The sequence below is a fragment of the Homo sapiens genome, chromosome 5 (assembly GCF_000001405.40).
Source record: "Homo sapiens chromosome 5, GRCh38.p14 Primary Assembly".
Taxonomy (NCBI): Eukaryota; Metazoa; Chordata; class Mammalia; order Primates; family Hominidae; genus Homo; species Homo sapiens.
This window is the reverse complement of record NC_000005.10, coordinates 106,565,605-106,585,446: the sequence shown is the minus strand read 5'-3', so window position 1 is coordinate 106,585,446 and position 19,842 is coordinate 106,565,605. Positions and strand designations below refer to the sequence as shown.

General features: G+C 34.3%; 1 annotated feature.

Moving 5' to 3' along the window:
• Window positions 324-843: an enhancer, noted in NCBI's record as "H3K4me1 hESC enhancer chr5:105920305-105920824 (GRCh37/hg19 assembly coordinates)". NCBI's record gives its function as "activates a minimal SCP1, AML or CMV promoter by ChIP-STARR-seq in naive H9 embryonic stem cells {active_cell/tissue: H9 hESC(naive)}" and the evidence as "EXISTENCE:reporter gene assay evidence [ECO:0000049][PMID:30033119]".

Genomic DNA, 19,842 nt, shown 5'->3' with positions numbered 1-19,842 from the left:
CACACAAATACATAGCTTTATATTTGTCTACTGTTCTTTCCATTATTATACAGGAGTTAAAATCCTTATGACACTAACAGAAATAACTGAAGATTCTGCTGTATTAGAGCAACAGAGATTAACTCATTTGGCTATCTTCAATCAATCGTGACAATATCATATTTCGACTCCAATTTGTGTTGTTCATGTATTACACTATTATTGGAAATAAAATAGAATTTTAATAAATATGTCTTGAATAGAAATCACATTGTCCAGACACTAATTATGCAACTTACTGGTAAATATTAGAGTTGGAAAATGCTTCATTGGTTACTTAAGAAAACTTTTAATAACCTTTTCATCATTCCCCTGGCAATATAATACTATTTTACACATTTTAAATTTTGATGAATTTTACAGAATTAAAGTACCCTTTTCGAATTTTTAGAGAAATTCAACTTTAAAACAACATACATTTTTAAACACTCATTGGACAATTTTAAAAGAAAGGAAAACTGCAAACAAAGAACCAGAAAGGAAGAGAAAAAGCCAAGCTAGAAGAATAAATTTGACCTAACTGTACAAAGTCACTGGAGATGGTGCTTCCAAATTTGACTTAGTAGATAACTGCTGAGAGTTTAATTCCTACATTGGGAAGAGGAATGTGGCTTTGCTGTGGAAAGCAGAATTGCCGAATCTCTCGGATAGTTGATAAAAACTTTCTCCCTGACCAAACTGCAGTCAAACTCCCATGAGCCCTCTTCTTGATTAAGCCTCAGCCCTGGTCTGTAAAAACTGCAGAATGTCATTGCAAATAATTTCATCCACAACCCAATCCCCGCCACGCACACGTGTGCTCCCATGCGCGCGCACACACACACACAGACACACCGGAGACAAACACACACGTAGTTTATAACAGCTCTAGGCCACACCCCAGTATGACCTCAGCCCTTCTTAAAATACCTTCTTAAGAAAGCTCAAGTCTGCCAAAAGAATTAACTGTTCTAGTCAGCACTTGCAGATAGGGCCCACCTCCATCTCTGTGGGAGGGGAGGAGCCGAATTTTGATAAGTACCAATTAGCAAACCCCGGTGGCCTAGTCCCACACACAGGCCTCCTTTCTACTTTTTGAAAATGTCCACTTCTCTTTCTCTGCTCTAAGCCCCTGCTATGCCTCCTTCCTATTCCCTCATTCTCTCCTTAAAATCCCCAGTCGTCTCTGTACAAATTGAAGTTTTCAGTTCATGATGAACCCAGTTCCCTATTGCAATAGCGTATCACTGAATAAAATCTGCTCTCACCACTTTAAGTGTCCAGTTTTGTTCTTTGTCTTTGACAAACGTGGTCCGTACAAGAAACCAAGACGGAGGCACACTGCTCATCCCTCAAAAAAGAAGAGGAGATGCCTACTCTTGACTGTTTGAGAGGAAAACAAAGGATAATAAACTAGTAACCCAAACCTTTAACGTGACTTAACTAAAATGAATTACTAATCCAAATTTTATAACACACTTGTTGCATCATTTTTATTACCTAGAATTTATTGAACTAGAGAGAAATTAACCATGCACAAGATGAATTAAATTTTTAAAACTGGAAAAAAAACCATGAAAAATGAAACATGAAGCAAATACGAAGCAAAAGCAAAGAAAAAAAGTGTATTTAAAAATTAAAGTGAATAAATGAAATATAAAGAAATGTAGGACACTATGTAAAAGAAAACTGGAAAAATAATAATGTTTCCAAAATTGGAAACAGAATGGAAAAATTAAACGGTTCAGAATGTAGGAGTTCAAAGACCTCAGTTAGCCTTTAATAACACAACAATTTTGGGTTTTTTTGTAAGCACTATTTTTCCCTTTTTTTTTTCAAAAAGAATTCTACTTTAAATTTTCAAGTATTCATTATGCCACTACTTAGTTAAATACTTCAGTTAAATACCCCACCTTCCAAGGATGGACCTCACTGGTAAAAGGAAAATCCCAGTACATGGCTAATGATTTAGTTCATGAATGGGAATACACGACAATTTGGTGCAAGGAGATATGATAAAAAAAATTCCCTTATTCTAACAGGAAAACAAGTTTATTTTCTTCTACTGAAGTATGTTGTACATGGTTATTCTGCCTATATATTAGATATAATATCATATTACATTGTATACTAGTATGTATTATATATTAAATATTGGGCTATCATTGAAATTATAAAGATACATAGATGACAAAGCAGAGAAATGGAAAGTGGATATTGAAGACATGAACTGAAATGCATAACACACCAATCCCAGAGGCTATACTACCTCTAGACTTTTTTTAATGCAAGCTATGTGATTCATGTTTTCCATTAACCACAGCCCACATCACCCTAACCTGATGCACACTGAAGTATAAAATTCAGTGGATATCTTAACTAGGTTGGGCAAACCTAAAGAAAGCCCAGAGAGTCTAAGGAAAAAAAAATACAAGGATTATCAGCACAAGTTAAAATACAGGAACTGGGGAGTAAAAAATTTATCTGCAAGTTTGTAATAAGAGACAAAACATTGTTACATATATTTTATACATACATATATGTTATATTACATATACTATACCTTTCTTATATTTATATTTGTATAATCTCATATACACACATGCATACAAAAATATGCTGTATATTAGCAATGTCAAACAGATTCATGACAAAATTAGGGACTAAATGCTTGAGAAAGACATAAAGTGAAGTGGCAAATTTTCACTGGTGGATATGTTATCAATTTGCATATCCTTTGTAAAGTCTCAAAATTCACATTAAGAATTATACCTTACTTTTCTCAATTAATTTATGCTTTTCTAATCAATGCCCCACAATCCCTCAATTGTATATGCCAAATATTTTATCATTTTCAATAAAATAAACTTTTGTTTTGAAAATAGGACTAAATTCCAAATGATTGGAAATTGATGTCACTTATTTAAAATGCTATATAGCATTCAATTCTATAAATTTATTTATCTCCATAATTACTGAATTAAAACTGCATTCTCTAACATGGATCCATGTGGGAAAAATTAATGTTAAGTGAGGAGAGTTGCATAGGGACAGTACAAAACATTTATACAAATACACATATTTTATGTAATGTCCTTAGCTATAGGTGTATATCTGCTATTAAAACATGTAATTTATACACCAAGTTCAAAGACATCATTGCTCTAAGAGGTGATAAAGAGAAGGAAAGTTGGGGAGGAAACAACAAAGATATCTGTAATGTTTATTTTACTTATAAATGCATGACTGATTTCAATCTTAACATTGAAAAATTTGGGTAATGGGTACATGGGTATTCATAACATCATTTTCTGTTATTTTCTATGTCGTAGAAGTTGTCAAAACAAAAATAAATACATAAACAAAAGTTACACTTCTATAATTTTGGAAAAGTAAATCCTGAGGACTTATGGCATCCTTGAGTATTACTAGGTAGCAGGATTGCTTGATTGATGGTATACAAATAATTAGATGTGGGGAGAAGTTAGATTGGGAACCTTGAACAATTTACTTAATAATTCAGGATCTCCAGTTTCTTAATAAAAGCAAGCACTAGTAGTGCTTGCCATGTATAGTTGTTTTGAAAATTAAATAAGACAACACATATAAAGTTCCTGATATATAGAAGGCAATATGCAAAGGATAATTCTTCTCCCATCAACAAATACTCAGTTTCTTTTACAAACTATTCCAGAGATCAGGAAGTGTTTCAGTTGCCTTCATGATTAATCATCTGCTTAATCAATTATTTTAAAGATATTCTATGACATCTTGATATTCTGGACAACCATTTTTACATATTAAAATTTTCAAAAGAAAGATTAGCCAGAGTTTGAGAGTAAAAGTTTTCATGCTGTATAGGGATAGCTTATGGGTTTGAGCAATATTAATTTTTTTTAATTTTCTTATTTGATTCCTATACCTCTTCAGCTGCTCATGTTCATTCTAAAAATTTTACCTTCATTCAAATTATATATGAATTTTTCATATTTCTGTTCGTACCATAAGCTGCACGTAACACCCGTAAAAATAGTAAGTAGAAAAAATAAACCAGGCTTCTGAGAATAGGCAGGTTTGTTACAACAGCTTTACTTTTCTTCACAAAATGTTGGAGTTAGGAAATTACTCCATGCCAATTATTTTCAATAGCGTAAACTGGCTTTGAAAATATTTCACCTTTGAGAGGTTTTACTTTTTCAGTCTCATATTCTTTGAATGATATTTAATAATATGTTGCCATGGTGGGAGATAAGAGGTAAAGAGTGTGGAGAAGTGGGATCCAATATTGCATATTAAGGTACTTTCATTCTTATAGGCCAATTTTTATTTATGGTTTGATATGTAACTGTCACATCATTTATACTTCAAAAGAGGTAATATTTTGACAAGGCAGGAAACTGCACACCAAAATTTATTTTACCCACATACACACACATAAATACACTCTATCTCCTTTTCTGAATTTAAAAACTGATTACCTAGAGAAGAATGCTTATATTTTAAATATCTCTATTAGATGCCACCTAATGAATACAAACTTAAATACAAATTGCACATTGTATTGGGGAAATTTAGAACTGTAAATCCACCTCCTAATGCAACACTCATGGTATCCGTATCCCATGGCTTTCTAGTAATTGTAATCTGCTCTGCTCCCTGTGTTAGAGATATAATTATGTTAACAGCTTTCCTACGCAGGCACCATACATTGCCATTATGAAGCCAGCTTCATTTAATTAACATCATGTAGTAAATTAGCAGTTATAAGGACTGCTGGGTACAAGGGGATCTCCATTTTCTCACCATTTACTTAATCCTCAGTCAATGTTAAGATTACTGCTCACTGAATTTCCATGGCAAAATCACCATCACCCTTCTCAGATGTTAAGATTCAGCATTTGTATGGATTTGGAACAAACCCTTTTTTCCGGATGCCCAGAAGTTAGGATTATTGAAGCCCTATCCTGCTCCTGGTTGGAAAGAAACAGGAATGCAGAGAGACAATGCCCATGTGAATGAATTCTTTATTTTCAGCTGGCAATTAAAAAAAAAACTTGATAAAAACTGTAGTATTAACTAGGGAGTAAATGGAAAGGCAGAGTGATTCTTTTAAAAGGAAGTTCACAGATTTTATTAGCATTTTAGAGAGGAGTTTTTTATGCCTAGTGCTGGGTGGCAACACGTAAAATTACATTATTATTTATCCCATTATTAGTCTTATAGTATGCTGTAAAGATGACAAATAACTTCTGTGTTTGTTACAAGTATGTGCTTAGTAATTCGTTATGGCTCAACTTTGTCAGGAATTATTTTCAGAGTAGCAAAAACCACTAGTTTGAAGCAGAAATTATCGTAATTATAGAGCATCAGACAAAAACTTAAATTTATTTATTTGCCTAGTAATTATTTGCCTAGTAATATATTTAAAATCTCATCTCATTGTGGTATTACAAAGTAAGTTAATTCTGTAGCTATATATGAAAAACCTCTATAAATTACTTCCCATTCATATCTTTGTACTGGAGGGTTTAACTAATAATTCTGGCTCTAGAAATAAACAATGAGCAAAATATTCCTAGATTGTCAGAAACAGCCTAAGAAATTCTGTCGATTTTCCTTTTGGTTCTACAAGTGCCCTGGCAAATAATCTAAGAACAGTAAATATTGCACGTGCTTAGAAAGCATTTCATTTATGTTGAAAGTAAAAACTACACGCAAGATTTTTACTGCTCATCAAATAAGTGGAAGCAATGAGAACATAGTTTAGATTATTTGTTTGAGTGTTCACTCACTTAATAAGGACTTAGCATATTTTGATCCAGATTATGAGCCACAGGGATTCCTCAGTTCTGAACATCTATTGGATGCTGTGTCGATCCTAGAGAAAAGGTCACCTAATACCAGGAGCTAGGCCGAAGAGTGTCTTTCTGCCATTATTGGAAGTAGACTACTGGTGTGCAATATCTACCTCTCAGAGGGACCAGTTCTCTCTGATCCTTGGCCTACTTGGCTGGCCTGGCCTTCTGCAGTAGTTGGTCCCATACCCTCATATCTCTCAGGGACACAACCCAATGGTAAGCTGCCACATGCCTTGTTCAAGGTACTTTGGCCTTCTGCAGTATTTGGTCCCAGACCCTCATATCTCTCAGGGACACAACCCAATGGTAAGCTGTCACATGCCTTGTTCAAGGTACTTTGGCCTACTGCAGTATTTGGTCCCAGACCCTCATATCTCTCAGGGACACAACCCAATGGTAAGCTGCCACATGCCTTGTTCAAGGTACTTTGGCCTTCTGCTCTGGAGAGTCTCTGTTCCCATGCAGCCAAGAAAGGAGCAGAGGGCTGCTATGAGCCCACAAAAGTATATTAGCTTGCCAGACCTGGCCCTGGAGGCTGTAAGCTGCTGGCAGAGAGGAATGCCAGTTTGTACCCACTTGCTGACATTCCCTGCACACTGTGGCTTATACTTTGGGTGATACCATGGCTGTCTTGGAACCAGATGTCCCTGATAACTTATCTGAGAGGACAGATGGCACAACTGATAAGTGTGAAGGAATTGACACCGTGTAAGGCAAATGTTCATCAGTGGAAGACAGAAGCCAATGAGAAAATTATTTTGCCATCCTTTCTCTAGACAGATTCTTTGGAGACACAGTTATTCATAGGAAACCATCCTTTCCTAGCCGCCCCACCTCTTCTCTATCTTCCTTCCCTTGGAATTTACTCTTCATCACATATTAGCATGTAAGAAGGTAGGCTCAGTTTTCCAGGCAACTAAATCAGCTAACTACCCAACTGAAGAGAATGCGTAGGTCTCTTGCCAGCCATCTAGATATCAGAGTTAATACATTAGGCTAATGCCCTTATCTCATTAGAAAATCCCCCAGCACTTTAATCAGATCTATATACTATCATATTACATACAATTTAAAAATGCATCATTCCTTGGTTTTAATGCACATGATATTGGAAAGTAGCAAACTTGAAAGAGGATGAGGGATTTTTACATTGTTGTTTGTATCAGAGGACTGTTGACAGACAACAAGGAAAATCATTAAAAAAGAATAAATGGCCAGGCGCAGTGGCTCATGCCTGTAATCCCATCACTTTGGGAGGCTGGGGTGAGCGGATCCCTTGAGGTCAGGAGTTCGAGACCAGCCTGGCGAACACGGTGAAACCCCATCTCCACTAAAAACACAAAAATTAGCCAGGCATCGTGGTGCATGCCTGTAATCCCAGCTACTTGGCAGGTTGAGGCAGGAGAACTGCTTGAACCTGAGACGTGGAGGTTGCAGTGAGCCGAGACTGAGATTGTGCCATTGCACTCCAGTCTGGGCAACAAGAGCAAAACTCCATCTCAAGAAACAAAACAAACAAACAAAGCATAAACAATTAATACAATACCAAGTGCTCTAAACAATTTAATATATTTTGTAGCCCTTACTGCTGTAAAATTCAATACAAAGCCTGATGTTATAATAATAATCTGGATTATAAGAAAAAGACACAAAATTTTCTTACCATATTCCATTTAAAGAAGACAGGAAAGTTCCTTGGAAAATTCTCAACTAAATAATTAAAATAAAAATGTATTCGCACTTAGACTGAATGTTGATGCTTGATTTTTCAGAGCTAGACATTCCAACAAATATGTCCATGTACAACTTTTATTCTCTAAGTTTCCAGATAATATTTAATTTTATGTTTTTCAAGGAGCTAAATATTTCCATTTGGCAATCTAAAAATATGTAGAAGAATACACATAGTAACCAGGAAATAAGAAGTGAGATGTCATATCTGATTTTTCTTTCTCTTCTGGATGTGTGAGAGAGATTAACATTTCTTCATATTTTCCACAAGCCTAGATTATTTATTAAAAATATACGAGTCATATATGAGGCAAGAATTGTGATAAGCACCTCACAATTAATTTCACTGAGAAGCACACAAAGTAGGTCCTAGGATTATCGACTTTAGAGAAAGTGGCACAACCTGCCTAAAGGCTATGAGCTGGTAACTGGTGAGCCTGACTGGAGCCCAGGCAATGTGGCCACACAGTCTGTGCCCCTGGACCATCACATTTACATCTATTCTTGCTAGTTTAAGTTAAAACAAAATGCTTTTATGTGAAAATGTTATTTTTGGTTTTGTTTTTGTTTATGGGGGAAGAAGAACAGTGGTGCATAAATGTAATATCAAGATGTCTCTTTGTGTCACAGAAGAGATTTGAGCCTTAGTTCTCAAAGTTGCAAAAAAAAAAAAAAAAAAAGGGTGAGAAAAGTGAATATTTTAGAGAAAGAAGAGAATGCTAAGAAACGGGTGAGCAGCGCTGAGTGGCCAGAATTTTGGTTTTGGAATGAGCTGGTCTTGTGCTTCTAGATGGAGTTGGGGGAACATTGTGTGCTGAATCCCTTTCTGAGGACTTGGTGTTCACTTTTCATACATGTGCCTTAACTTCATTTTTCACAGTGTGCATCTGCATTATGAAAACCATTATATACTTATCCCTATAATTTTTCTATTATCAAGAATGTGCCAATTTTTAAGTTTTCTTTAAAACATTTTTACTTTGTTATATTGCTAGATAATGAAAAAGCACTGTCTATTTTTAGATTTTTTTTGCTTATATTTGGATTTTATTATAATTCTTGAAATTTTGTTTGGTTTAACTCAATTCATAAGAGAGAGTATAATTTTTAAAGTTAGTTAATTCCCTTTATCTCCATATCTCACTCTAATTTCCATCACAGGAAATTTTCTTTTCTTTTAGATGGAGTATCGCTGTCATCCAGGCTGGAGTGTGGTGGCACAATCTCGGCTCACCACAACCTCCACTTTCCTGGTTCAGGCAATTCTCCTGCCTCAGCCTCCTGAGTAGCTGGGATTACAGACATGCACCACCACACCCGGCTGATTTTCATATTTTTAGAAGAGACAGGGTTTCACCATGTTGCCTGGCTGATCTCAAACTCTTGACCTCAGGTGATCCACGTGCCTCGGCCTCCCAAAGTGCTGGGATTACAGGTGTGAGTTACCATTCCCGGCCCAGGAAATTTTATATCTTGTAATTTGAATATGTTCTTATAAAGTGTGCACTGTTGTTTTCTGTGCACTTTTTCCTCCTGGAACTATCTGCTCTCTCTTCTATTATGGGAAACAAAAATATTCTCTTTACATTAGTAAGAGACTGTTAAGGCTTGAGGGCAATGCTCATAGTTACATCTTGGAGTCCCCAGTCCACTGCCTTGTTTTCACAGAAAAGAAAGGTCTTTTCCATTGCTGGGCTCCCTGGTTCTCCTTACCTTGGTCAATCTGACACATTTATCTTAACACTTCTGCTTGATAACTGATTTCTATGAAGTTTATTTTTTCTCTGTAAATACCATTAATGTGCTTGTTCTTATTCAACAAGTCAAAATAACTAAAACAATAAGTATTGATACATTTAAATTTGAATTCTCAGTCGATCTGTGTAAATGTTTGCCTGCCATTTTTCATGATCGGTATGCACAGGAACACCAGGGAAAATGAGTTCAATCATTACAATTAATATGATATTATTAATCCACTGTCATGTTTGAGCCTGTAGTCTGCTGACTTTAAGAAAGATAATTATCTATAAAACTTATGGCAGAAAAAGAATAGCATATTACTATTGGATGCATGCTGACCTTCTATCTCAGAGTGAAATAGATGTATGACTTATTTCTGTATCAATTAGCTAGAACTTAGGGGAAAGTGCTAGCCAATTAAGATAAAGCAGAAAAATGACCTCTAAAGGCTAATCTCTGCTTCAGAGTATAACTCAAAATATTTTTGGTAATGTATAAAACTCTGCTTTATGATGTAGTTAATTTAGGTTTCAAGGTGAAGTATGAATGGAAATAACCAACTGGACCATTTAGACATAATGACTTGCTTTTAAACTACCTTTGTAAATTGAATCTTTCTGATTAAGTAGGACTTTAATGTAAACATGCATTATTATGCTTAATTTTTATTAATTTTAAAGATTTGGTAATATCTCTTAAGGTAAATTACTTGCAAATGGCACAATTGTGTTAACTGCATAGATAAAAGCATATTAACACTTTGTTAACAACAAGTTTTGAGTCGAATGTTAGACCTAAACTTTTAAGTTGAAAAGACTATGCAACATTAACTAACTAAAATATCTATATAAAATTTAATAAATCTCATCTCTTTCCTCTTAGAAATAATTTTAGAAGTATAAAGTTACTGTAGTACAATTTTTCTTTCTAGACTTCTAGCTCAGTCTAACAAATTTAACATGTATGTGAGATATATATCACATGTATCACATGTATGTGAGATATACCTATCACATGTGTCACATATATGTGTGATATACCTATCACATGCGTCACATGTATTGAGATGTACCTATCACATGTGTCACATGTATGTGAGATGTACATATCACATGCGTCACATGTATGTGATATATATATCACACGCATCACATGCATGTGATATATATGTCGCACGCATCGCATGCATGTGATATATATGTCGCACGCATCACATGCATGTGATATGTATCATATCACATATGTGATCTATATATCATATAGATCACATATATCACATATATATCATATATCACATATATGATATATTATATATATCATATATGTATCTCCTATATGGGAGTTTATTAAGGAGTATAATTCACATGATCACAAGGTCCCACAATAGGCCACCTGCAAGCTGAGGAGCAAGGAAGCTAGTCCAAGTCCCAAAGCTGAAGAACTTGGAATCCAATGTTCAAGGGCAAGAAGAGAAACACACAGCACAGGAAAAAGATGTAGGCTGGGAGGCTAAGCCAGTCTAGTCTTTTCATGTTTTTCTGCCTGCTTTTATGTTCTGGCCATGGTGGCAGCTGATTAGACGGTGCCCACCTAGATTAAGGATGAGTCTGCCTTTCTCAGCCCACTGATTCAAATGTTAATCTCCTTAGGCAACACCCTCACAGACACACCCAGGATCAATACTTTGCATCCTTCAATGCAATCAAGTTGACACTCAGTATTAACCAACACATCATCCTAATCTATCAATTATAAAATTCTGCACAGCCATTCACCTAATGACTTAAACAGTGGTCAATAATGGTTTCCTACCTATTTTGAGTTTACCTTTCAGGAGCCTCCTTTAATATCATACTTCTTTAGTTCTCTATGACAATTAAGGTACCCATATCTTACAGGGATTTAACTATTGAGAACATGCATGTACATTGGTACCTGACCAACTTACCTGTCTACAGAAATATAAGGCTTTCTTAGCTTATGTCTCCACTATCTGCCATCTTGACATTAATATTTTTATCTCTCACAATTATGTTGATGATATATGCTCAAAGAATCAAGTACAACAATGTGGCTGATTATCTTTACTAATATTATAGTGTCAAAATTTCCATGTTGTGTGTGATTGAATATATAGTTAATTTTTGTATTTTTTAAGAGAATTTCCATAGACACTGGATCCAGACAGCTCCCTAGACAAATATTACCCTTATTTATAGTATAGTATTTAATCTCCTTTTAAGATGTCGTTTTCATTTCCCTTATTTAAGAAAAATGTGGATGACTATGTGTTTTTTTTCTCATTTCTATCTAAAATAGATTAAGATCTTTCACTATATAGCAACAGTTCCAGTCACATATTCTAATTGTTTAATTGTTATAAGTACTATACATTAAATTGTATAATTAGGGCATGTAATTAACTAAAAGTTGAGATGCATAATTAATCAGCATCCACAATGTCTATGTTTGTGCATTACTTTTGGTGACAAATGTAATGATAAATCATTTTTATGAAAATATTGGAGTTTTAAAAGTCTTATGCTTTGGACACTAATCACTTCGTGACTTTAGTCATCAAATCTATGTTTCAAACTGCCTCAGGGAGAAACAAATTTGTCATTTCATTTTATAAGAGTACTCCTGAGCAGGAATATATTAATGCAATATTTGATCTTACAATATTTTGATGAACATGTTATAATAGTCCTTGGAGAATTGTTAGCTTTTGCCCTCCTATTCTTTAGTTTTAATTGCAGACACTATAATCTATAAGTTCATTAATCAAATATTTTCAATAAAAATTTTGAAATCTATTTGGTAAATTACTTTTAATAATTATATGAAAAAAGAATAAGCCATATTTTAACTCCATATTCCAAACATTCAAAACATAATTTACCCATGTGCAAATTCACACATTAATGAGTGAAGCATTTTTGACTGATGTTTTATGAATCTGTCAAATGTCCATACTTAGTATCTTTTCTACTTGAACATTGTCTTAGTCTGCTTTGTCCTGCCACAACAGAGTACCTGAGACTGGATAATTTTTAATAAACAGAAACTTATTTTCTTCCCGTTCTGTAGGCTTGGAAGTCCAGGAACAAGGCAACAGCATCTGGTGAGGGCAGTATAACTGTGTTACCACATGGCAGAAGGCAGAAGGGCAAAGAGACAAAAGAGGGCCAAATTCACCCTTTTATGAGGCATTCATTTCACCCATTAGGGTGGAACCCATACCTTATTACCTCCCAAAGGCCCCACAGCCTAGCACCTCCACACTGGCAACAAAACTTCAACATAAGTTTTGGATGGGACAAACATTCAAACCATAAAAACCATGTTATGGTTGTTTCACAAATATTGTAGACATCATATTTCATTCTTCATGAATACGAAACACTTCAAAGGTTCTCTTTATCACAGCTCATTTAAGTACATGCAATACTGTATTTGATATTTTTTCTATGACATTTGCTTTTTTCTAACATTAGCAATCATTCCTTTCTACTAATTTATAAATTTCCTTAGAGCTTCCATACTATTCTGTTTTGAAAGAATCTAAGAACAGCGTCCAGAACATCATATGAAAGGAAGTGTATGAAATGGATTTTTTAAAACAAGAAATAGTCCAAATAAGGCAATTGATGAAAGACATTTTAAAATCAACATTTTAATAGGTTTATTATTAAATTCCACAAAATTCTCAATGTCTTTATTTTCTTTCTCTGTCTCTGTCTCTCTCCTCTCCTGTCTCTCTCTTTCTCTCTCCTCTGTCTCCCTCATCTCTCTCTCTCTCTCTCCTCTGTCTCTCTCTCTCTCTCTCCTCTGTCTCTCTTTCTCTCTCTTTCTTCTTCTCCTCCTCCTCCTCCTCCCCCCACCTCCCCTTCCCAGAGAAAACATTCTAAAGAATGAAAGGGACTGAGGGAAATTATCTACTTAATAGCAAGCTGAGAAGGCTCTGTTTATATTCTGTGACTCAGTTCTGTATGCACTTTCACCACCTTCAATTATTCTCTGAACATAGTCTCTAATTATTTGCATGCCTCTTAAGTCAAGCTGGACTGTGCTTACAAAACAAATTGTAATACTATTTCCTGAAATACAGTTTCCACTCCAGAACAAATTATTCTTGTTCCCATCCCATTTTATATTCTCCCTTCACTTATCACTGTGTAAAATTATCTTGCCACTTTTTGCTTGTTTTATAGCAGTTTAGTAGTTTACTTACTCACACTCAATGTCCTCCACATTCCCAGAGCTCCATACCTGCTCCCCAAAATTTTCATGAGAACAGAGACTGTCCATCTCTTTTTCTACATCTCATTTTCACCAGTCTTTGAAACAATGCTTAACGCAAAGAACCTACTCAGTAAACATTTTCACATAGTTTGGTCCCTGAGATTTCTGCATATTTAGCTTTTTATATTTTCATTGGTATTGTGTTTAGTAGTTTTTTTTTTTTAATTTCCATTTTTACTTTAGATTCAGAAGGTACATGACCAGATTTGTTACAAGGGTATATTGCATGGTGCTGAGCTTTGGGCTTTTGTTGATACCACACCCCAGGTAGAGAACATAGTACCCAATAGGAAGTTTTTCAGCCATGGTCCCTTCCCTTTCAGAGTCTCCCATGTCTATTATTCCCATCTATGTCTGTGTAAACCCAAGATTTAGCTACCACTTATAAATAAGAACATGCAATATTTGCTTTTCTCTTTCTGCTTTGGTTTGCTTACAAGAATGGCTTCTAGCTGCATCCACGTTCCTGCAAAGGACGTGACTTTATTTTTTTAATGGCCTGTGTAGTATTGCTTGGTGTATATATATCACACTTTTTTAAACCAATCCACTATTGATGAACACTTAGGTTAATTCCCTGTTCTTGCTATTGAGAATAATGCCGCAATAAGCATATGAGTGCATGTGTCTTTTTGGTAGAACAATTTTATTTCAAGTGCATAAAATGAGTAATGGGATTGCTGTTGTGTGTTGTAATTTAAATGAAGTGTATCTTGACTACATTTCAAATGTAGTCAAGTTATAGTACAATTGGCATTATTGCTCTTTATATTTTTCTGTTTGTTCTTTTCATGCAGAGGTTTCTGAGCACATTAGTCATGAGCATTTTCTGAGCTACTTCTAACTCTCAAAGTAACAGGTTCTATTAAATAATTTCGAGCATGCCTTACCATTCATTGCCTTTAAATTGCAGGTATAAACTCTGTAAAATTATAAATTGAATGTCTTTTTTTTGTTCAATCCTTTATTTTGTTTATCAAGTCTATCTAAAACTATTTTGAGATGTTGACTACTAATATGTAGCTCTATTAAATGCACAAGATTGTATTTTAGTACATATAAAGAAACATATATGAATAACTTGTTAAACAAGCATTTTGGGGAGCACATTTTTTTCCTAACTGAGAGAGATATACTATATTCATGGATGGAAAGAAGAAAAATGTAAGAATACCTTTTCATTCTCATGAATTACAGGTATGAGATCCAAATAAAATACGAATGAGGTTGCTTTTGCAACTTGTTAAAATTATTCTAGATTTCATTTGAAAAAACAGAAGAGATTAGATAAGACTAATTAAGAAAAATTAATAATATGAAACTTTTCTACCAAAATTAATAATAGATATTCTACAATAATGTATATTACATAAAATACACAAGAAATCTATTTTATAGCTTATATAATAGCTATTTTATAAATATCATATATATTTACAAAAATAGTATTTTTAAAATATAGTGTGAGAATTATCTATTAGGTCAATGGAAGATAATACCCTAGAAAAATCTTAATATAACCCAAAATCATTTAGAAATCTATGTATGAAAAAAACTGAGGAAAAATACACTGATTTCTAGATATCTATTTTTCTGTCTCCCTTCAGAAATATATTATTCTGTCCTTTGGTTATATTATGCCCTTAACAGCTTATATATTCTAATTCAGTTGCTTTCTGCATTCTTTCTCAGTACCAGTTCTGTTCCTAGAACAACAAACCAACTAGCCAACTAATTACTTTAATTTCTTTAATATGGTAATAATCTTTGCATCGAGGAAAACTAAACTAAAAATTAAGTAGATTTACAAAGAACTCGCAGTATCTATTCTCATTGCAAATGTGGGAATGTTTCTGTTTTAAAAACAAAATCAGTATCAGGGCACCATCAACTATCGAAAGTATTAAAAGCAGTTCCTTTCCCTACTGTTGATATTTTTTGTAAAAATTTATTGTTTGTGTATTTCCACAATATTAAGAATGCAAGTACTTTTTAAAAAAAGTGTGCCTCCTGGTGCAAGACCTGTTGAAATTTTTATACTTTCACTTGCAAGCCCTTCATTTGTATGGAGATATCTATTAAAGTCCCAGAAATTTTTGGGGTTAAGCATCATAACTTCCAGTTTCCAAAATGATATGGTTTCTAAAGCAGATAGGTCCAGCTTGACAGAATTCATTTAGATGCTCTGCAAATTGTTACCATGTCTTCCAAACTTTGCAGGTATCCCCGTGTCCCTGTGTATTTTACTTTGTAAACTAACAGAGATCTATGGCCTTTAAACTTTTTCAACATAACCTGCAGTAAAAGAAATACATTTTTCATCCTAATTCAGTACATAGTATTTATTGAGCACACTCCATGTGTGCAATTTTCTACGTCTATGTACTGGGTATTCAGAAGAAATTGGTACAGTCAAAAACACTTCTTCTCATGGAACTGATAGTCATCACATACAAATACACACAAGTATACACAATTATTTCTTTATACACATTGCATGAACAATGTTCCCTTGTTCTTTTTATTCCATTCTAACCTTTTCTATTTTTTTTTTGTTATAACAACTAAAAATAAAACACTTTTCTCTTTAGGATCCACAAAGTGATTCAAACCTCAGTAATATGTCTTGGCTCCAGCTTTGAAAAACCCTGACATAGAGCTATTGCATACTGTTAACATTCTCATTAAAACAACTTAGAGTTTAATATTTTTTAAAATTCTTGTTTCATTGTTGGTATCTATTACCAGCTTCTTCTATCACCAACATTTTCACTCAGCTGCTTTTGAGATAGGACTTTCTGAATCTGTGTTTATGTAAGTTGTTTTTAATCTAAATGGAGAATCTTTTATTTATTTCTGTCAAATTCTTCTTTATTGGTTTCAGTCCATCATTCTAGTATATCAAGATTTGTGAACCCTGCCACTGTCATGAAATATATTAGATAATCCTCCTAAATCTGTGTCATCCACAAATATGAAAAAGGTGGCTTCTATGTTATGATCCAAGTGACTGATAAGAACTACAGAAATTTGCAATATTTTTCTTTAGAAACCTCTCTTGTGAGCATTGGTTTATCAATCTACATTTTAGAGTTATATTTGCATATCAAAAATGAGTTCCCTTAATTATCATATGATCCTGTCTGAATTTTCTCATTATACGAAAGAATCCTAACAGACTCTCAACAATGTTACTATATTCTTGATTTTTCTTTCCCTGAGGTATCAATACCTCATTTATGAATACAGCTAAGTTTCTGATTATCCCAACCCCATCCTTTCACAATAATAGCCTTCAGTTTACAAGTTCAGCATCAGAGCAAATGAGACTCTGATATCAAAGCACATTGTAAGTTATTCTCAGAACTAAGGGATGGTCTAAAATTACCAGTCTCTCTGATGTGTATGTTGCAGGGATAAGCAGTATTCTTAGTGATTATAGTATCATTCAACTATTTCTCCTCAACTATTAGTGATTTCCAACCGATAAGGATTCTGTCTTAGTCACAATGTCTTAATGTCTATGACAGCTCCTGAATAGGACTAAAGTCTGGTTAGCTGAGGCTAGATACTCTTCATCTAGTTCAAAGATCTCTATTTTTCTGGGAAAGCATGTTTCTTTGGATGTAATTTACATTCACCTGATGAAATGTTATTAATAGGATGCATTAAAAGGATGATAGTAATAACAGGATGGTTTCCTTAGATAAGAATATAGGGAAAGGGATTAACCAGTTCTGAGTATGAATCCTTATTTTAATCACAAATGTACTGCAGTACTTTTGGCAATGTCTTTAACGTTTCTAAGTCTCTGTGCCTTTTTTGCCAGAGATAGGAGTGCAAACCTCACTTACAAACAAGGTTCTTGAAAGAATAGATTATGTGGTAAGGAGCACATTCTAAGTAATCACTGAATAATAAGCATAATTATCGATTAGTATATGAGCATTATTTTTAAAATGGGTTACTTTTTTAATAGAAATGTTGAATTATGATTATAATCAGAGGGGAGGGATGGGAACCTTTATTCTTATAGAATTCATGCTAGTGATGCCATCTCCTTTCACCTCTACATAAGACACTTTCATCCCTCAATTTTGTCAATCTTCTCAACTTTGCCAGATCAGAGAGCATATGGGCATTTTATTATTATAGGCATTTATATGCAATGCCTGACAACCACTAGCATTATCTCTCTTTGAGTTTTGGCAAATCGTTAATCTCTCCAAGCCCAATTTTTCTCATTTGTAAAACAACAAACTTTTACTTTGAGGCAGTTTTATAAACAATTGTGGATAATATATGTAAAATACTTACCAAAATAATTGGTACATATCAAGCACTGAGTATATGGTGACTGTTATTATTTCTAGATTGTTTTTCCTATTCAATTAAAGAATGTGATCCCTAATAAATGAGAAAGGGGAAAATGCGTCTTTAGACATTCTTATCTTCTTTCCAACAGGAATATTCTTCTGTCCTCTCACAAAATTACAATTACCTTTCTTCTCTAAGTAACTAACTAATACATCTAGATGAACAGCCAAATTCCCAGTGAGGAGGAAAGTTCCATTAAATTAAATGGCCTTGGCCTAAAGCTGCCTCTGTACAGATTTTAGGTTTGGTCTAAAGGTTTACATAGTAAACTGTAACCCAACTTGTTCTGTAGACAGACCCACAGCAGCTAAACTTCAGGCAACCACAGGCAACCAACTGTTAAAACCAGGTTCAAATAAGGCAAAGGCTCAGATGTAATGAGTCCAGCTGTTTCTGCACCTTGGTTTTGCTGTCTATATGTTACCTTCTTTCTCTGTTCATAAGTGTTATCTGACCATGTGGCAGTCCCAGAGTCACTCTGATCCTATTATAGTTCTGGGGGCTGCACGATTTGTGAATTGTTCTTTGCTCAATTAAACTCTATTAAATTTAATTTGCCTAAAGCTTTTTTTTTATTTTATAGTACAGAGCTAATACTTCTGGCATAGTAGCAGAGAAGGCATTTTACTACGAATAGTAGAGAAGTTAGTAATTAATAGCAGAGCATTTTCAAGCAGGGAGACACAACTAGGTTTGGAACTAACCCTTGCTTAGTCAAAATGTGAAAGTTACTTAACCTTGCTTATTATTTCTTCTTCTATCAAATATGCATAATAGTATTTCTCTGATTATACAGTGGTATACATGAGAAATGTTTAAAATTTCAGTGCTTAGTACATAGTCTGGCAGGCAGTAAATTACTGATAAATGGAAGCTCATTGCTATTTCTTCTACTACTCCATTTAAAACCTACTTTCATGTCGTAATAGTCTTAATTGATGGTGGAGGTCAAACTATTTTACCTTTAGAATGTGAATTTTAGTATTTATTGATCAACATTTTCAAATAAGACCATTTAGATGCCCTGTAGTGTTTCTTATAAATTAGCCATGTAAAGCTTCATATTTTTGTAAAGCTGCCAAGGGTTTTACCTGAGCACAGGATTTATATAACTACTAAGATAGATGAATTATAATCCTGAGAGATAACTAATATCTGTCAGCAATTTTAGTCATGATGAAGACCATCAATAAACCTTGTCAGCGTTTTGCTGCTCTTGTTGATGTGGTTATCACTGAATGGTCTATCATTTCATATCCTGACTACTAGGTTAAATCTAATTTCTGGTGTCATCCCTGAATACTTCAGTGGCATTTCATGCAACTCAAAAGGCATGTACAAGATGGTAGACGTAATTTAGGGATACTTCCCGGTCTCGATTGCAATACGTGAAGACACTCTCCAGTTATCTGGTTAGGAAGACAAGTGTAGGGATTCTGGGTCCTTGATTCAGATTAGTAAGATAATGTGCTGGTCCTATTTAACTTCCTTTCCTCCTATAGTGTTTTAGACATCCCAAAATATATCCCAGATAAATTATTCTCCTACCTGTACTGGGTACCTCTAAAGGGGAAAACACATTTTCTAGTCTATAAAATCCCATTTAATCCATGTTGAAGGTATTCACAGAGAACAAGATTAACTTACTTGAACAGTTGGGAAAATGGGCCTAAAAATACAATTATCCGTCTACAAAATAAGCGTTCATTACAATTCTGCTGTGCTTCACAAATTGTACTAGAGCTAAGGATACATTGGTCCTGCTTTCCAGGGGATCTCTTGGTGAGGAGATGGGGACAAACACATATGT